At 38.7% G+C, this 18,902-nt stretch overlaps 1 protein-coding gene across 6 annotated transcripts in view; it reads left to right on the top strand.

Moving 5' to 3' along the window:
• Positions 1 to 18,902, top strand: part of SHQ1 (SHQ1, H/ACA ribonucleoprotein assembly factor) — a 123,174-nt gene that overhangs the window by 53,186 nt on the left and 51,086 nt on the right. For 2 of the 6 annotated variants that reach the window (XR_001740192.3, NM_018130.3), the window contains exon 10: positions 2,224 to 2,344. Coding sequence is in view for 5 of the 6 variants with exons in the window: in NM_018130.3 (NP_060600.2) it covers positions 2,224 to 2,344 (121 nt within the window). In the remaining variant the exon portion in view is untranslated. Of the gene's footprint in view, positions 1 to 2,223; positions 2,345 to 9,801; positions 10,669 to 12,120; positions 12,741 to 12,763; positions 13,733 to 13,849; positions 18,624 to 18,902 lie in introns of those variants that run through there. The other 4 variants (XM_011533898.3, XM_011533896.3, XM_011533897.3 and 1 more) reach the window with 4 other exon arrangements.

Here is an 18,902-nt window from a genome sequence, read left to right as displayed (position 1 = left end):
TTCTAAGTGTTAGTTTCTCTTCACAGTCAGTCTAGCAGTGGAGCTTTCATTGACATTCTTCATTCATTCTTTATTGTATCTGCATATGAGGAAGCCACAAAGTTAATATTTTTTAAAAAGGTATGGACTCTGTTTTCAGACTTACTACCTACTTAGGGGTTAAAGTCAGTAATAAGTCCTTGAGTAATAAAAACGTTGTGATATAGACTGGATGAGGCAAGAACATACAGGTAGCATGGCACAGTGGGTAGCCTCTGGAGCCATTAAGATTGGAATTTAGATCTTGGTCCCTCAACTCAGTGGCCCTGTATCTTACCCATCCTGAAGCCTCCAGTTTTCCTTCTGGGAATTGAACAGGAGAGGTTATGGGGAGGACTTTCCCCATTTTGAGTTTCCTTTCCACTTCTTGGCAGCATTATAGTAAAGGACCGTGAAGACTAGGAAAGTCAGCCCAGAACTTCCCGAAGGAATGAAGACTGGAGCTAGACCTTGATAGTGGGCTAGGTCACATGGAGAAGGGAAAAAGGCATGGAAACAAGTCTGTAGAAAGAGCATTGAGAACATATGCAGGGAAGAGACTCCATGAAAGCAGTGCATTAAAAAATGTGTGTTTGAAGGGGTAGAGTCTGGAATCTGAAAGATGGGAAAGAGGATTCTTAAAATCGAGGCATGAGATGAGAATATGAGTGAACATAGGAGCTCAGGCAATGGCATAGAAAGGGCAGATACAAGGAGCATCTCCAAGGAAAAATCATCAGGATTTGACGGGTGAGACCGTAGAATGAAAGAAATTTTCAAGGTTTAAGCTGGGTGATTACTGTGTCTATCATGTATTCATTCATTCTTAGAACACTTAAATGGAAAACCTGCTGTTGCGGTGTTCTGTTCTAGGTATTGGGGATTAACCACTAAATAAAACAGAAGCCCCTGCTCTTTTGAAACTTACTTTCTAGTGTTAATTATGTTAAAAAATTTAGTGTCAGCAATTTTAGGATCTTGAGATGTCATCATCTAGCTCATGATTCTTTTATGATCTAAAAGTTAAATGGGAAATGTCAATGAAAGTGCATCCAGTATCTTCATGAACTCAGTATACAGTATTTCCGCGTTTCAGAACTGTAAAGATAAGAATGAAACTGTTAAACTGAAAATACTGAATTTCACAGATCAAAGAAAATGGTACTACTCTAGATGTAGAATTAATAGTTCACCTTATAATTAATAAATTTCAGGAAATATCATGAAGTTTGGAACACCTAGGGAATTGCTGAGTTGTAAAAGGCTCCTTTTGTAGACTTTGGTTGGGTTAAAACTAGGTTCATTTAAAAACCAGGAGGAAGTAGTTAGGTTGAACAAGGCTTTAATACTTGATGGCTTTTGTTCATGTGAGTTTTGTCAGCTTATTTCTGAAGTAGTGCTATGATGTTTTAGTGTTCAGTTTTCTTCAATTCTTTAAGGTAAAATAATTTGTTATTAGTAGATAACTCCTTGACAGAAAATGTTGACATAAGAAATAAAGAAGTTTGAAATTTAGAATACAGTTTTCCATGTTATGTTGAAAGCTTGAATTGGAAGAACATTATCTAATAAAAATTATGATGCATTTAGATATTCATTTGGTTTAGAAAACTTTCCTGCCTTTCATTTAATTGACCTAGTTGTATTTCATAGCATTTTAATGATAACCACAACTAGTCAGCTGTAACAACAGAATATAAAGATTATATGTAATTCTTTTTTTTTTTTTTTTTTCGAGATGGAGTCTTTCTCTGTCGCCCAGGCTGGAGTGCAGTGGCGCGATCTTGGCTCACGGCAAGCTCCACCTCCCCAGTTCACGCCGTTCTCCTGCCTCAGCCTCCCGAGTAGCTGGGACTATAGGTGCCTGTCACCACGCCTGGCTAATTTTTTGTATTTTTAGTAGAGACAGGGTTTCACCGTGTTAGCCAGGATGGTCTCGATCTCCTGACCTCGTGATCTGCCCGCCTCGGCCTCCCAAAGTGCTGGAATTACAGGTGTGAGCCACTGTGCCTGGCCAAAGATTGTATGTAATTCTTAAGGAAATCAGTAAAGGGGTTTGGACCTAATAGGACTCATAAATTTTTTTGCATTTAAAAATGTTCTTAAGAAATGATCAGGATTCTGAGCTGCTTTAGATATATTACCTCTCAGGGTCTGAATTTCTTTTTCTTAAGGATAATTTTATGTTTTTTCAATTTTCTTTAGGTAAAAGTGCAGTTTTAAAGTGTCTCCTGGATATTCACAAAATTTTTCAGGAAAATGACCCAGCGTACATACTGAATGATCTCTACATCTCAGACTACTGTGTGTGGATTCAGAAAGTCAAGTAAGTTTTCATAGAGTTACTTACGAATTTTTAGATGTTCACATTGCTGAAATACCTATTTACCCAGGAGGAAGAAAACGAAATAACCTGAGGAGTAAGTTGTGTTTTTTTTTTTTTTTTTTTTTTTTTTTGAGATGGAGGTTTGCCCTTGTCACCCAGGCTGGAGTGCATTGGTGTGATCTCAGCTACTGCAACCTCCGTCTCCCAAGTTCAAGTGATTCTTGTGCCTCTGCCTCCCGAGTAGCTGGGATTACAGGCGTGTGCCACCACGCCTAGCTAATTTTTTATTTTTAGTAGAGACGGGGTTTCACCACATTGACCAGGCTGGTCTTGAACTCCTGACCTCAGGTGATCCACCCACCTCGGCCTCCCAGAGTGCTGGGATTACAGGTGTGAGCCACTGTGCCTGGCCAGGAATAAGTTTTAATGAGAAGGAAACCCATAGACCTACCAAACACTAAAAAGCAACTGGATTAACATGGGGAGCTTGGTGAATTTGCTTAGGGAAGGAGGTACACAGATGGTAAAAAGTTAATTTTATTAGAAAAAATTGGTATTGGTATGTCCTGGAAAACAGGTATTAAAACAGTTGTGATATTGATTGCCTTGCTATTGACTGTCCAGTATGAAATCTCAAGACTGGGTATCTGAACTTGTATCTGTATTTCACTTACAGTAGAGTGTGAGTGTGTGTAGATGTATGTGCATTCATGTTTGTGTGTGCAAACATTTTAGTATGCAAACTGCATCAGTTGAATCCAGATGAGAGCTCTGCATTTATTGGCTAGCCACTGGCTTACCACCTGCAGAGCCTAATAGCATGATTCTTGATAATGCATGTATGGAAGGGTCTGAACACTCACAAATGAGCTCCAGCACTTGGTATATAAAAATTTTTAAAAGTGTTTACCATTGCGTCAATCAAAGAAACATAGTAGATTAACGATTACATTTTAAAATGCAGTGAATTTTTATTTCGTGAAGTTCTGTAGATCTGATTCTTATTAGACATGACAAAATTCCATTTCAGTAGCAAGAGGCTATTAATTAAGAATCTATAAATGGGCCAGGCATGTTGGTTCATGCCTGTAATCCCAGCACTTTGGGAGGCTGAGGCAGGAGGATCGCTTGAGTTCAGGAGTTCAAGACCAGCCTGGGCAACATAGTGAGACCCTGTCTGTATTAAAAAAAAAACAAAACAAAAAACCTATAAAGGGAACTCTTAATTGGAATGACTCCTAGGTGCTATAGAAAATGATAGCTACAATGTCAATTGTGACTTAGAAGAAAAATAGTCTTGATATTTTTGCTACCGCCATGATTGATAAATAAATGCTTTAGTGTGGATTTTAATGTCTGTTTTGAATGAGCCATTATATGGGATTTATTTTTTATTTCTCTTCATGGGGGAGCAATTATATTGCAGAATGAAATATGAAAAAACTTGAGGCTATACCTGTTGTACAGAAAATGCTTAGGGATTGCTCAAGATAATGCCTAATAACATACAGCAGGTGGTGTCAGCATTTGTGTTGGAAATCTAGATTTCGCCAGATGGAAAATTGAATGTTTAACCCCTGAGGTCATAATGGCATGTCATCACTTCATTTGATCCTCCTGCTAATTGAGCTTATCAAATACCCTGCTGCCATTTCCTGTTGTTACTTTCATTTTCATAATAAAATTAAATGGGGATAGTCTATTTGTGTGGGTTTTGGTTTTTCTTTTTTTTAGGAATGATGATTTTGTAAACATGTAATGAATATTGAGGTATGTACCAGGATCTCATTTCTGTGAGTGCCTGTTTCTCTCTTTGTGATATTCTTTATTAGCTAGAGAGAAGTTTATTTTTCATTAAAGAAGAAAGATATAGGCTGCCAAGTAGATGTAGGGATTATCAGACCTTCCCTGAAAAAACTTTTTCTCTTGGTTTTATGTTGTGGGAAATGAAGTGAAATTCTTAGGTTCTTTGTAATTGTTGTGCTAATAGTACTTTTAAAAAATGGGATAATGTATTGGGGAGTGAGGTAGGAGAGAGAAACCAGCAGGAACTCTTCAAATTACTTTGCAAAAGTTGTTTTTTCAACTTTACCAATTTGAACATAACTTTCTTTTCCCTAAACAGGCGTGTTGCTTTCAGTTTGTATGTTAAATTTTAACTGTAGCCCAGCTATTTTTTTCTCTCTTTTGAAATAAAACATTTGTTTATCTAATTTTTATAAAAATTTCTAGTTTTATTCTTAATTTTACAAGCACAACATGATTGAGCTTTCTAGTATTTTCTTTACTGTGAACTTCTTAGGTCTAAATAATTCTACTGCAGTGTAGATCCATGATTTTCGTAAGGAATTTTTTCCTCACTTTTACCTTCTGGTTTATTTCTTCTACATATAGTTTATCAGTGAAATCTAGCACCTTATTTTTATGTTTGAAAAGAGCCATGTATTTTTCTTAGTTTAGTTTGATGTTTTTGATTATAATAATAAAAACTATGTAAGGTTTTGTTTGAAATACCAGGTAATTGCTAAATTCTGACTAGCACAAAAACAGCATTCCATTTTTACAGTCAGATATATGCTTTGGCAAAAACCTATTGAAACGTAGGTAGCAAAGTCATTCTTACATTGAATCGATGAAGTTATAACAACATCTATTGTTACTTCTGCTTTCGTACTAGGTTTCCCTATGTTATTTTTCCCTATGATATCTGTGTCTTGTAATGCATATTTGCAAAGCTGAGAAACTGAAGCTCCTGGCCTCTCATTCTGAGTTACAGATTTTACCAATTGTTTTTCTGAAAAGAACGCTCCCTACCACCCTTCACTATAAGCTTCACTGGAAGTTTTGAGTGTGGTGCTCACTACAGCAAATGTTCTGTGGTTGGCAGCCTTAGAAAGTGATTTGTTTGAGGTTATATGTCTTATAAGAGATAGGTCAGGTCTTCTGGTTCCAGATTTCATATTTTTCAAGATATGCCACTTATGCAACCAGTTGTCTCCACCCATACCATGTGGAAGAAAAAAGATAAAAGCCCTTTCTTCAGAGAGATTTTCCTATAGGAAAAGGAATGAATGAAACATCTGTCTTTCTCATGGATGTTCCCATAGCACTTGGTTGAGAGATCATTGGGCACCTCTCATGCCTGCCTTATATTGTAGGAATCTAGATGTGTATCTCTTTCCCCTCTAAAATGCTAAGGTCTATGTGAATAAGCACCTGTCTGGACCCATCACAGTTTGTGAGCACAATCAGTTTTACTCAAATTGAATGATACCTATTAGACCGGATTAAAGGAACGTTTTTCATTTTTGTTTTAAATGTAGCACTTTAAAAATATAAATCAATTCTAACTTATTTTTATTGGTATTTCAGCTACATATACAAGTTGCCCCATTCTTTGCTGGTGGGCTGCCATCAGTAGCAGTGATAGTTCTGACCCTCTGAAATTTAACAGTTCCATGGTATCCAACCCTTTGGCTTCCATGGGCCATACTGGAAGAATTGTCTTGGGCCACGCATAAAATACACTAACACTAATGATAGCATGGACCAAAAAAAAGATCCATGCATAATTTTTATGATATCCATCACTACAGATAAGCAAAAAAGTCCTTGCATTCAAATAGTTGGCACCTTTTTATATAAGGTGGGATAGAAAATAATGAACTGTAATACATTCCAGCTCTACTTCTCATTGACCGTATGACCTTAGCAAGTCACTTTGTCACTTAATCTAATTCAACCAATATTAGTATTTTGATATTTCCTGTATTTGTTTCCCAATGCATTTTTTAAATATGTAACAAGTTTATTTTTCTTTTTTTTTTTTTTTTTAGTGTTTATTGATCATTCTTGAGTGTTTCTCGGAGAGGGGGATTTGGCAGGGTCATAGGACAATAGTGGAGGGAAGGTCAGCAGATAAACATGTGAACAAAGGTCTCTGGTTTTCCTAGGCAGAGGGCCCTGCCACCTTCTGCAGTGTTTGTGTCCCTGGGTACTTGAGATTAGGGAGTGGTGATGACTCTTAACGAGTATGCTGCCTTCAAGCATCTGTTTAACAAAGCACATCTTGCACCGCCCTTAATCCATTTAACCCTTAGTGGACACAGTACATGTTTCAGAGAGCACGGGGTTGGGGGTAAGGTTATAGATTAACAGCATCCCAAGGCAGAAGAATTTTTCTTAGTACAGAACAAAATGGAGTCTCCTATGTCTACTTCTTTCTACACAGACACAGTAACAATCTGATCTCTCTTTCTTTTCTCCACATTTCCCCCTTTTCTGTTCGACAAAACTGCCATCGTCATCATGGCCTGTTCTCAATGAGCTATTGGGTACACCTCCCAGACGGGGTGGCGGCTGGGCAGAGGAGGTCCTCACTTCCCCGACGGGGCGGCAGGGCAGAGGCGCCCCCCCTACCTCCCGGACGCGGCGGCTGCCGGGCGGAGACGCTCCTCACTTCCCTGACAGGGCGGCTGCCGGGCAGAGAGGCTCCTCACTTCTCAGACGGGGCGGCTGGTCAGAGATGCTCCTCACCTCCCAGATGGGGTGGCGGCGGGGCAGAGACACTCCTCAGTTCCCAGATGGGGTCGCAGCCGGGCAGAGGCGCTCCTCACTTCCCAGACTGGGCGGCTGGGCAGAGGGGCTCCTCACATCCCAGACGATGGGCGGCCAGACAGAGACACTCCTCACTTCCCAGACTGGGCGGCCGGGCAGAGGGGCTCCTCACATCCCAGACGATGGGCGGCCAGGCAGAGACGCTCCTCACTTACTAGACGGGGTGGCGGCCGGGCAGAGGCTGCAAACTTGGCACTTTGGGAGGCCAAGGCAGGCAGCTGGGAGGTTGAGGTTGTAGCGAGCCGAGATCACGCCACTGCACTCCAGCCTGGGCAACATTGAGCACTGAGTGAGCGAGACTCCGTCTGCAATCCCGGCACCTCGGGAGGCTGAGGCTGGCAGATCACTCGCGGTCAGGAGCTGGAGACCAGCCCGGCCAGCACGGCGAAACCCCGTCTGCACCAAAAAATATGAAAACCAGTCAGGCGTGGCGGCGCACGCCTGCAATCCCAGGCACTTGGCAGGCTGAGGCAGGAGAATCAGGCAGGGAGGTTGCAGTGAGTCGAGATGGCGGCAGTACAGTCCAGCCTCCGCTCGGCATCAGAGGGAGACCGTGCAAAGGGAGAGGGGAGAGGGAGGGGGAGGGGGAGAGGGAGAGCCCCAATGCATTTTTAAACCAGTGGAAGCAATACTGCACATACCATTCTGTAGCCTGTTTTATACTCATGATAATACCTTATAAACCATTTCCCTTTATAACATAATATCCATTACAGAGTTTTTTTTAAGTAACTAATTTATTCCTCATTATAAAAAGAGTACATATATGCTCACTGAGAAAATTTCACATTAAAACTGTATGGTTTTAATACATAGCACATTTTGAAATGACAAGGGATCAAGAACGGTGTTCTTTTGTTTTTGCTACATGGAAAAATTTTATTGTTTTTAAATGAAACTAAAATCTAAAATCCTGACTCTTATCAGTACAAATGTGAACCTGTAATTAAGATGTTAAATCACACTTTTCCTCTCTAGTATAGTTTTTTTAAGTAGGTAGTTCTGGGGAAAAAGAAAAAAAGTGTTTTTGAAATTCTAAACCCTCTTTGCATTAAACTGATTAATGGTTAATTAACTCTAATAGTGCAATTAACTTTTTTTGCTGAAATCTTCTGACCTTTTGGACACTAATGTGGGAAGTTTGTAGAGGGAAACAGCTATATCACAAGATAGTTATCTGTCATTTCATAAGTCATGAACCTTAATTTCCTCAGTTGTAAGTAAACCTAAGTCATTTCAGCACTGAAGTTCTAAAATTTTAGAAAGCTTAAGACCTTATGATTGCTTTAGATTCTTGAGTTGCTTTCTATGTGCATGTGCTTTTGAAGGGGATAGGATTATGCTAAGAACAGGGTAGATAACATACATCTCTTCCTTCTGGCTCTCTGTTGTTCCTGGTTCCTCTGCCAAAATGAGGTAGTGAGAGAGACTCATATGCAGAGGTGCAACATCAGAATTGCATGTAAAAGTGGAGTCATGTATTTTTTTTCAACCAGTAGTTATTGAGCTCTATTATGTGCCAGGTGGTGAGATAGGTGCTGGGAATACTGTGGTGAACAAGAGAGACACGTCGTTGTGAAGTTGGTCTTCTAGTGGGAAATGCAGATGTAATGTATTATACCCAATAGCGGCTACAGTGGGCAAGTATGGGAGCTGTGGAAGCATCTAAGAGGACACAGGGCTGTAGGAAAAGGCTTCCAGAGGAAGAGTTTAAGCTGAGAGCTGAAAGGTTTGTAAGAATTGGTCAGATGCAGGTGGGGAAGTGGGGATGAAGAGTATTTCAGACAGTAGACAAAAGAATATGGCCCATTTGAACAGCCTGAAAACCCAGGATGCATAGGTTATAGTACAGAAGGGATAGGAAAGAAGTGAGGCTAGAGGTTCATGTAGAGGCTTGGCCACCTAAAGATGCTTGGCCTTTGTCCTGGGAGAATATGGAGCATCTGAAGAGTTTTAAGCGATGAACTGCCTGTGTGAGTGAGGGTATGAGACTGACATTCTGGGAAGATCCATCAGGTGATTGTGGGGAATGAATTGTGGTGGGGCAGAGCTCAGAGCTCCAGACTTAAAGGCCAGTTAAGAAGCAGGGTAATCCAGGAAAAATAGCCTGAGCCAGGTGAGTGAGAATGGGGAAGGAGACTAGTCATCAGATTTGAGAGGCAGGTGAGACAGACTTAGTAATTGATTGGATGCTGCTGGGAGAGAGAGAAGGGGAGGAGCCAAGATGAGATGTGGGTTTTGACTTGGGCATCTAACTGGGCTGTTAAAGGTGGCATATGCCAAGATTAAATAGTAATGAAGAAGGTGTAGTTTGGGAGAGAAGGTGAGGAGTTCAGTTTTGGAAATGTTGATTTAATGCCTCTAAGGAATATCAGTAAAGAGGGAGCCAGGAACATTTGGAGCACAGCTGGGACAGATGTATAAAGAAGAGTTTAGACAAGAAGGGAAATGAATTAAGTCACAAAACATAAAAAATGTTCTCTGGTTACATGGTACTGTGTTACCTATAAGTATAATAATAATCGGAGTGGATGCATTTCAAGCTGGGAAAATAACATCATGCAGATGAGTAGACAAGGAGAACATGTATGCAACATGGTGAACAAATTTTCTTGTTCTAGCTACAGTGTATAGGTAGGACAAGAGTGGATGTGAGGCTTTTTGCATTTGGATCATAGTTTATCCTTGCTGTCTCCCTTTATTGTTGAACAAGAGGGTCTACTGTTAACATTTCAGGGGTCACGATGTTATAGTAATAGGGTCAGATAAGAAATCCTATCTCTCTAGTCTGTGTGCCGGAGCCTGCCAGTATTCTTAACTAATTCTTTTTGTTTTTTAAGAGGTGGAATTTCGCTATGTGACCTCCAGCTCCAGAGCTCAAGTGAACCTCTTGCCTCTGCCTCTGGAGTAGCTGGGAATACAGGAGCACGGCTCATGACTACTTCTTGTCAATTGTTCCCATAAGAGAAACTCACTCAGACTTTTACAGCAAAACTGGGGAGCTTTATTGGTGACTATAGGTTATCCCCTGGAACTGTACATTCAAGAGTACAGCTGGATACCAGGAGGTCAGATGATGAGAAAGTGAGGCATTCGGCTTGCTCTTGCATATGGTCTTGCATGATGCTGCTTTCTGCAAGGCACTGCCACTCTTCTCTCTCACTGCACATGGAGGATGGCCACTCCACAGATCTGAGTTTACATGTCTTTACTTTCAGTGGGGATAGATTCCCTTGTTTGTAATTCCAGGGGAGGAAGAATGTGATTGGCTCAGCAAGGGTAAGTGTGTTTTCCTGGTCCAGTTGCCTTGGTCACACTGGGATCAGAAGTAGTGAGTGGCATTTCTAAGAAAGTGAAGCTGGAGGACATACAGCCACCTCAAGAAGACACTGCTGTAATTTCACAGTACCATTTTGAGCCATAGCTGGAGGAAAGCCATGACACCTACCACCCCCCAAGTCACTGATGTTTATAATAAATCTACAGAGTGGAAGGTGATTTTGGGGATCTGTTAAATTCAGGCACGCAGAGCGATAATCAGACACTCTAGGTGGTTTTACATTGGTATGGGAAGTTACTTCTGACAAATGGTGAAATGCTAAGTGTTAAATTAGCTGCTAATGATTAGCATGTAGAAGTTTCAAGAAACAATTGTGCGTAATTTCAAGCAAGTTAAACCTTGGATTAAAATCATTCTTGGTAAGGTGCTTATTCTGGCATGTCAAGTTGCTCTTTAGTTTTACTGTTTATTTTTAATTAAATCCACAAATTCATCCTGGATGGAAGTGGGTTTTTATCTCCATAAGAAAAGATTAGTACAAGGCAGTATCCATTCACTTGGATCCATTCAGCGTGGTTTCATATAGAAAGGATTTACTTAATGGTTCTGTACCTTATCACCAGTAGCTCAGCAGTGCCCACTGGGGACTGTTGCTCTTCATTAGACTTCTCTTACAAGAAATGTGCCAATAAATCACAGGATTACAAATGTTCCTACAGATCTAAGACTAAAATAACCTTTTATAAAGATATGAATGCTTCCTGTAACTAAGTGTATTGAAAAAACTAACAAAAGAATTATATATTTGAATGTTAAAGGTTTATGGGATATTTTTGTTGTTCTTTTTTTTTTTAATTTGTAATTTGTATCTTTTTTTTTTTTAGGTAGACTTTTTATTTTAGAATAGTTTTAGATTTGCAGAAAAATTGCAGAGATAGTACAGAGTTCCCATGTACCCTACCCAGGTTTCTCTGTTAACCTCTTATATTGGAATGATATATTTGTCACAATTAATGAACGAATATTGATGTTATTATTAACTAAAGTTTATTTAGATTTTCTTAGTTTTTACCTAATGTCCTTTTTCTCTTCTATGAGACCACATTTTGTTTTGCTTTTACTAAAGAACTGGAAATTGAGTAGTGCTCAATTTCTTGGACATTTTGGTTATTCAAGAGCTTAAATGCTATGAAAGGTAAGTGAAATATTGTTGAGATACTCAGATACCTGAGGAGCTTAATACATACAAACATTCTAATCATCATGAATCCAGACTTGGAAAAAATGGGTTTGACGTATTTGAGAATTTTTAGAAATAGAAACATAATTCATTTATCATTTTTACTTACATATGTACCATGGACATCATGATTATGATACATTGATAAAAATAGAGAAAGCTTAGGGCTGGGCATGCTGGCTCATGCCTATAATCCCATCACTTTGGGAGGCTGAAGTGGGAGGATCAGTTGAGGACAGGAGTTCGAGACCAGCTTGGGCACCATAATGAGACCGTGTCTCAACAAAGCAAAACTGGGCATGATGGCATGTGCTTGAACCCAGGAGTTCAAGGCTGTAGTGAGCCAAGATCATGCCACAGCACTCCAGCCTGAGTGACAGAGGGAGACCCCATCTCAAAAAAAAAAAAAAAAAAAGTGTATAAAAATAAATTGGGCAAGGCCTTTATAGTTTCATGTTAATTTTCTTAAGGTGGAGGAGGTTAGAGGAGAAGATGTGGAGATACATATGAACCATTTTCAGAGGTGAATAAGCGTGGAAAATACTCTACCTTTATCTAGGGAGTAGTATGTATATCAAGCCCATTTTATAGCTGTGGCTGGGTGGCTGTGTTAGAAGTCTCTGTTCTTTCTTGTTTTAGTCCCTGATACTTGGCTGTAGACTGCCCAAGTCCTTGGTTTTGGCTTGGTGGAGCCATGGCTTTTTACAGAGTAAGCAAATTGCTATTTTCCTTCATCTCCTTGTTCTTGTGTATTTTTGTACCTCAAAGCTCTTTGGAGGATTCTCTTTGGAGGGAGACCCACAGGATCAAGTGAGTTAGGGTGGTGATTGATTTAGTCAGGTTTTATAAACCAGTATTCTCTACTTCACGTAGAATTTTCACTGTGCTTGAATAGTCTTAACATCTTATTCAGAGAAAAGGCTTACATTGATTAATGTGGCATATGTGTGGTTATCATACTTAGAAAGTGCTCTGTTTAAGGAGAGCTTTGTCAAGAGCATTCTTTCAATGGAGTCACGAGAAAGCTTTTTAAAAAAGCTGACAACTTCAAGTACAATTTCCTTTTTCTTCTGTCTATTATGATTGAAACCCAATCTTTGTTATAACATAATTATCTCAGCTGAAGCCAACAGGGAGTTGCTGCCTTAATGTAAGGGGTGTGAAGTCCCCTAAATAAATAGAGGATTAATTACATTCCCAGCATGTTGCAAAGGTGATGAGATTGATTGTGATCATTTGACTTGTCCCATTTCCTGCTCTGACTACTTTCTTTAATAAATAGAAGCTGGGAAAATAATAAACAGAGCTGTGGAACATATCTTTGGGCATGGAGTGTTGGAAAAGGACCTTCTTGAGGTATATTTCTGGATTTTAAGTGATTTATATGACATTTTACAGTTTTTTTCATTGATTATTCTTGTACTGTTTCAATTTAAACAGCTTTCAAGGAAATTGTTTTTGCTTAAGAAAACATAGATATTAGCAGAGCATTGAGAGAAATTGATAAATTCTATTTTAATGGTTGGATATAAGCAAATTTCTGATCCAATTTTAGATGTTTTCATTTAGTGTGGCATTATGGAAGGTTTAAACTAAAGGAAATATTAGCTATTACATGTTTCTATTGTCCTTTTCACATAAGAGCTTTATACTTCTGTTAAGCTTAAAGTGATAAATTAGGACTTTCATGAAGTGGATCATGTTTTCTGTTTTGTGCTTGTCTTACTGTCTTTTCCTGGAGAGTTTTATAATATCCTGAAATTGTGATTTAGAGTATTTATTTATTCTCTAAATTTTCTATTGCTGTGGCTTCCTATGGAGGTCCACTTTTTCCAGGGAGTACATAAAACAATCTTTTTGGGGTATAGGAAAACTGTAATAGACCTTCTACCTATAATTATTTTTTGAGAATGAAATTAAGCTTCATAAATATTTTATACAGGGATTGATGGCAAAAATGATTTTTAGTGGCTACTTACCATACCTTTTTTTTTAGTGATGTGATATTTGATTAGAAGCTTAAAAGGCCACTGCTTCATGGAACAGCCATTCCTATTTTCAAAGAGAGTCATACACCTTTTTTCTCAAAGCCTAAGTTATGGCAGGGCTGGGATTGCCTCTGCCAGGAAATTAGTGTTGGGGTTCGGGGACTCTAGTCAGTCTCTGCCAATTAAAGACTCCTGATGATATGGTCTCTTCTTTCTGCTCTGTAATTTTATGTAAATAATAAAATGGTGCACCAAAACAATGAGAAAAACTGCATTTGTAGTGTCAAATTAACTACCTGACTTAAATGCTAAGTTCATATTTGGGAAAACTCAAGCACTGAAGAATTATCTAATTATTGTGTTTATTTCATTTCATGTAGGGTATAAGGGCCGTCTTTTTCTGAAATGCGAGCCCTTCTTGAAAATCTCACCTGAGGCTGTGCATGGTGTCTCACGCCCATAATCCCAGCACTTTGGGAGACCAAGGTGAGCGGATCACCTGGGGTCGAGAGTTCAAGACCAGCCTGGTCAACATGGTGAAACCCCATCTCTACTTAAGAATACAAAAATTAGCATGGTGGCACGTGCCTGTAATCCCAGCTACTTGGGAGGCTGAGGCACGAGAATCGCTGGAACCTGGGAGGTAGAGGTTGCAGTGAGCCAAGATTGCGTCACTGCACTCTAGCCTGGGTGACAGAGTGAGACTGTCTCAAAAAAAAAAAAAAGAAAAAAAAAAAGAGAAGAAAATTGCCTTGAGTGCACACCACCATACTTTTTACTTTATTTGCTTCTATATTCTGCCTCTACTAAAAATACAAAATTAGCCGGGTGTAGTGGTGGGCACCTGTAATCCCAGTTACTCAGAAGGCTGAGGCAGGAGAATTGCTTGTTCTCTGAGTTGTGTAGCACATCAAGTGATGGAATACACCTCTAATATCATGGCATGTTTGTCTTTTGTTTGGTTTGCCTGATTTTAGTCTTGTGATGGATGAGATATTACTTTACATCCCAGATTTGTAATTATGTGGTATACTTTAAGTGACAGAGTGAAAGGTGAAAAGTGATGTCTCTTTTGATGATCATCTCTTCTCCTGACTCTTGCCACTTTCGGTGTGTATGTATCCTATAAACCCAGAGCATTTACACCCCCAAAGATGTTCTTTGTGGATGTCACTTTTGACACCTTAAGAACCCAAAGACACATTCTTTTGGCAAAGAATAAAACACCTTCTCGCATATGGTATTAAGTACCTTTGTGCCATTCCAAATAAGCTTGCCAGCCAATTTAGATTTTATTTCTATCCTTAGATTATCCTAATGCTTCAGAAAAATAAGGGTTTAGTTCTTACTAGAAGAAATTGACTTCACTTTCAACTTGATATTTAAAATTACAGTTGTCAGCATTTGTCCTGTCTGCTTGTTTAAGGGACATAACAGTTAAAAGGACTTCACTTAATGCTGTATAAGTTAGTGATCTGAATAAAACTATTGGCAAAGGATCTCCACTCTGTATTAAATACTGGATTAATCATACAGGTCAAGCTTTCACAATTCTAGTTGTGAAGCTTGTGTTCTGAATGTGGCAGCACTACATATCCTTATGTTTCAGAAGCTTTATTGTGATCCATGGTTTCAGATGCATATTTCAAATCCAGAAATTTTGCCTGGTAAGTAAGGCTTATCATACCTTTTTTAAAAAATTAAATATTTTTTAAATAGTAGAGGCAGGGTCTTGCTGTGTTGCTCAGGCTGGTCTCGAACTCCTGGCCTCAAGCAGTCCTCCTGCCTTGGCCTCCCAAAAGTGCTAGGATTATAGGCATGAGCCACCTCGCCTGGCCTTGTACCTTTTTATCAGAAAGATCCAACCTTGCTCCAGGTTTGTGTGAAAACAGTTTTGCTTTGTTTTTAAACCAGAGCCACATAGATCTTTCCATCTTCTGTATAGGTCAGTGTTACTTGTTTCTGTTAATCATACTATTTCAAAGTCCCCTGCCATTTTAAGGTGGGCTCTCCTCTTGAGGCTTGGGCATGAGAGTTAAGCCAGATACTGACTTCGTTTTCTATCTTTTGGGGTCTTGTTATCCTAGGTGGAAATGGTGGTTGTTTAATTGTGACTGCTTTAGACTTGAGTATCTGTTCATCAGTCCATTCATTCAACAAATAGTTTATGAGTTCCTACTGTGTGCAGGGTTCTCTGCCAGGGGCCTGCCAATGGTAAACAAAACTTGACTTGGCTTCTGCCCTTCTAGAATTTGTGGTCTGATGAGGAGAGAAGTATTAATCAAATACTTGCATACACAAAAAGTAAAATTAAAACCTTGGAAAGTGGTGCAAAAGAAAAGATTCATACTGCCACGAGAGATGGCTGACCTCGCCTGGTGAGGGGATTAGGAGGAGAAGGAGGATCCCCTGGGGAAATGTTTGGTTTGAGTACTGAAGTACAAGTAGGAGTTAACCTAAAAAAGGTGGTGGACTTCAGGAATACATAGTAGTTCCATCATGTGCAAAGGCTCTGTGGCAGGAGGAGGGAATTTTATATGTTTTCAAGAAATTGCAAGAAGGTCAAGGTGGCTGTAACCTAGAGAAAGGGTATATGTGTTGGGGGAGGGGTCAAGAAAAGGCTGATGATTTAGTCAGAGCCCAGACAGTATAGTGCCTTTTAAGTAATGTTAAGAATTTTTATCCTTATTCTAAGAGTAGCGAGAAGCCAGCGAAGGATTTTCAGCATATGATGGGAGATGACTGGTGTAGTGTAAAGAGCTTTTTAGGCCAGTTTCAAGACTATTAATAATGCCCTTATGAGGCGTGAGTGTAGCCTGACTAGGGAATTAGGATTTTTAGGAACTCAAATGGATTTAGAGAATGAGGAAGAAGGCAACATGGAGGATGATGCCTGGGTTTGTAGCCTGCACAGCTGAATGAATGATAAAACCTAATTTTGGAAAAGGAATCTCAGGGTTTTGGCTTTTGTTAGAGGAATCTTTTCTATACAGAACTTAAACTCTTTTGTGGTGATCTGTACTTTAATCATAATTCTGGATAATGGCCAGTTTTCTTTATTTGCCTCTGTTATTGTTGCCTTTATTATTTAATGAACTACTGGGTTCAGTTATCTATGGAGGTTTGCCGTTTGTATGTGTTTTTTGAATGTTTGTAGAGTTTAGTTATTTTCTTAAAATGTTTTCTTATGAAATATAAAATACAATAATATTTGAAGTGTATACAAATTATGCAAATTAAGTGTATACAATTACACAAATGAAAGAATAGTAATGAACTGAATATTCATGTAACTACCACTGATTTCTTTTTTTTCTTTTCTTTTCTTTTCTTTTCTTTTTTTAAAGAGACAGGGTTTCTGTCACCCAGGCTGGAGTGCAGTGATATGATCATAGGTCACTGCAGCCTCAAACTCCTGAGCTCAAGTGATCCTGCCATCTCATCCTCCCGAGTAGTTAGGACTACAGGCATGCCCAGCTAATTTTTTATTTTTTGTAGAGATAGAGTCTTGCTTTGTTACCCCAGGCTGGTTGAACAACTGGGCTCAAATGATCCTCCCATTTCAACCTCTCAAAAGTGCTCAAAGTGGATCGATTATAGGTGTGAGCCACCATGCCTGGCCTCCAATCTTAAGAAATAGAATATCACCAATTTCCTAGAGATTCCCTATGGGACCATTCCCAATTGTATTAACTTCTGGTAACCACAACTCTAAATTTTATGTCAATCATTACTTTACTTTTCCATATAGTTTTACCATTTGTGCATATATCTCAAGTTTAGTTTTTAGCTTTGCTTTCTTTTGGACTTTATGTAATGGAATCATGCTATATGTATGGTTCTTCTATTACTTGTTTCTTTTGATTTTAAAAAGATTTATCCATGATGATGCATAGAGTTGTAGATGGTTCTTTTCTGTCCTGCAGTGTACTATCCCATTGTCTGAATATAGTGCTGTTTGTCTGTCTGTTATTCTGTGGAACCACTAATAAATGGTTTCCAGTTTGGGCTATTCAGAAAATGCTGCTGCAGATATCACTATACGTGTTTCATGGTGTACTTGTGCAACTTTTTGGTTAAGCCCTATACCTAGGAATGGAATTTCTGGGATTAGGGACAATGATATGTTAGCCTTTAATGGGCAGTGTCAAACTGTTTTCCAAAGTGGCCATACCAGTTTATTTCAACTTATACTTTAACCAGCAATGTATAATAATTTTCCTGATTCCACCTTCATGCCAACACTTACATGGTTCAGATTTTACGATTTGACAATCTGAAGGGGTATGAAATAGTTTCTGTTGTAATTTTAATTTGCATTTTCCTAATTACTAGTGAAGCTGAGCATCTTTTCATGTGTTTATGAGCCATTGGTGTTTCCTCTACTATGAAATGTCTGTCTATTGTATCCCCTGTTTTTCAATAGGACTTCCTTTCTTTTTGATTTATAGGATTCCTTCCAGTATTCTGGATACTAGTCCTTTATGGGTTAAATATGTTGCAAATATTTTCTTCCAGTTTATAGTTTATGTTTCAGTCTCCTTGTAGTGTTTTCATAAACAGAAGTTTTTAATCTCAATGCTGTAGAATTTCTCAATGTGTTCCTTTATGGGTGTGCTTTTGGTTCTCGTTTAAGAAAGTTTTTATGATTTGGATGTTATAGAGATATTCTCCTATAGTATCTTCTAAATTTTTTATTCTTTTGCATTTTGCATTTAAGTCCTTAGTCCACCTGGAATAGATTTTTTGTATGTTATGCAATAGGGGATCCAGTTTCTTTTTTCCCATATGGATAACCATATCCTGGCTTCATTTATTAAATAGTCTATCCTTTCCTCATACATCCTGCAGTGCTCACTCTTATAAATCAAGTTAACATGTATGTGTGGATCTGTTTCTAGGTTGTCTGTTCAGCCCCACTGATTTACTTGTCTGTCATGCGAGAGTGCCATACTTTCTTAATTACTGTAGCTTTATATCTTAGAATCAGCTTGTCAAGTTCCATGAAAAACATTTTGATTGGAATTGCTTTGAATCTGTTAATCAGTTTGGAGAGACTAAAACATTTTGTGTCTCTTTCCAATAATATGGTATGACTCTCTTAAGTTTTCTTTAATGTCTTTCAATAAAATTTTATAATTTTTTTCCATTAAAGGTTTACTCATTTTTTTGTTCGATTTATTGCTGATGTAAATACTTTTTTAAAAAAATTACTTACAAACTGCCTGTTTAAAGTACAGTCATGCATTGCTTAATGATAGGGATACGTTCTAAGAAGTGTATCATTAGGCAGTTTTGTTGTGTGAGCATCATAGATTGCACTTACACAAACCTAGATGGCATAGCCTACTACACACCTAGGCTCTATGGTGTAGCCTATTGCTTCTAGGCTACAAACCTGTACAGCATGTGACCATCCTGAATACTGTAGAC

The sequence above is a fragment of the Homo sapiens genome, chromosome 3 (genome assembly GCF_000001405.40).
Source record: "Homo sapiens chromosome 3, GRCh38.p14 Primary Assembly".
Classification (NCBI taxonomy): Eukaryota; Metazoa; Chordata; class Mammalia; order Primates; family Hominidae; genus Homo; species Homo sapiens.
This window is presented reverse-complemented; position numbering and strand designations above follow the sequence as displayed.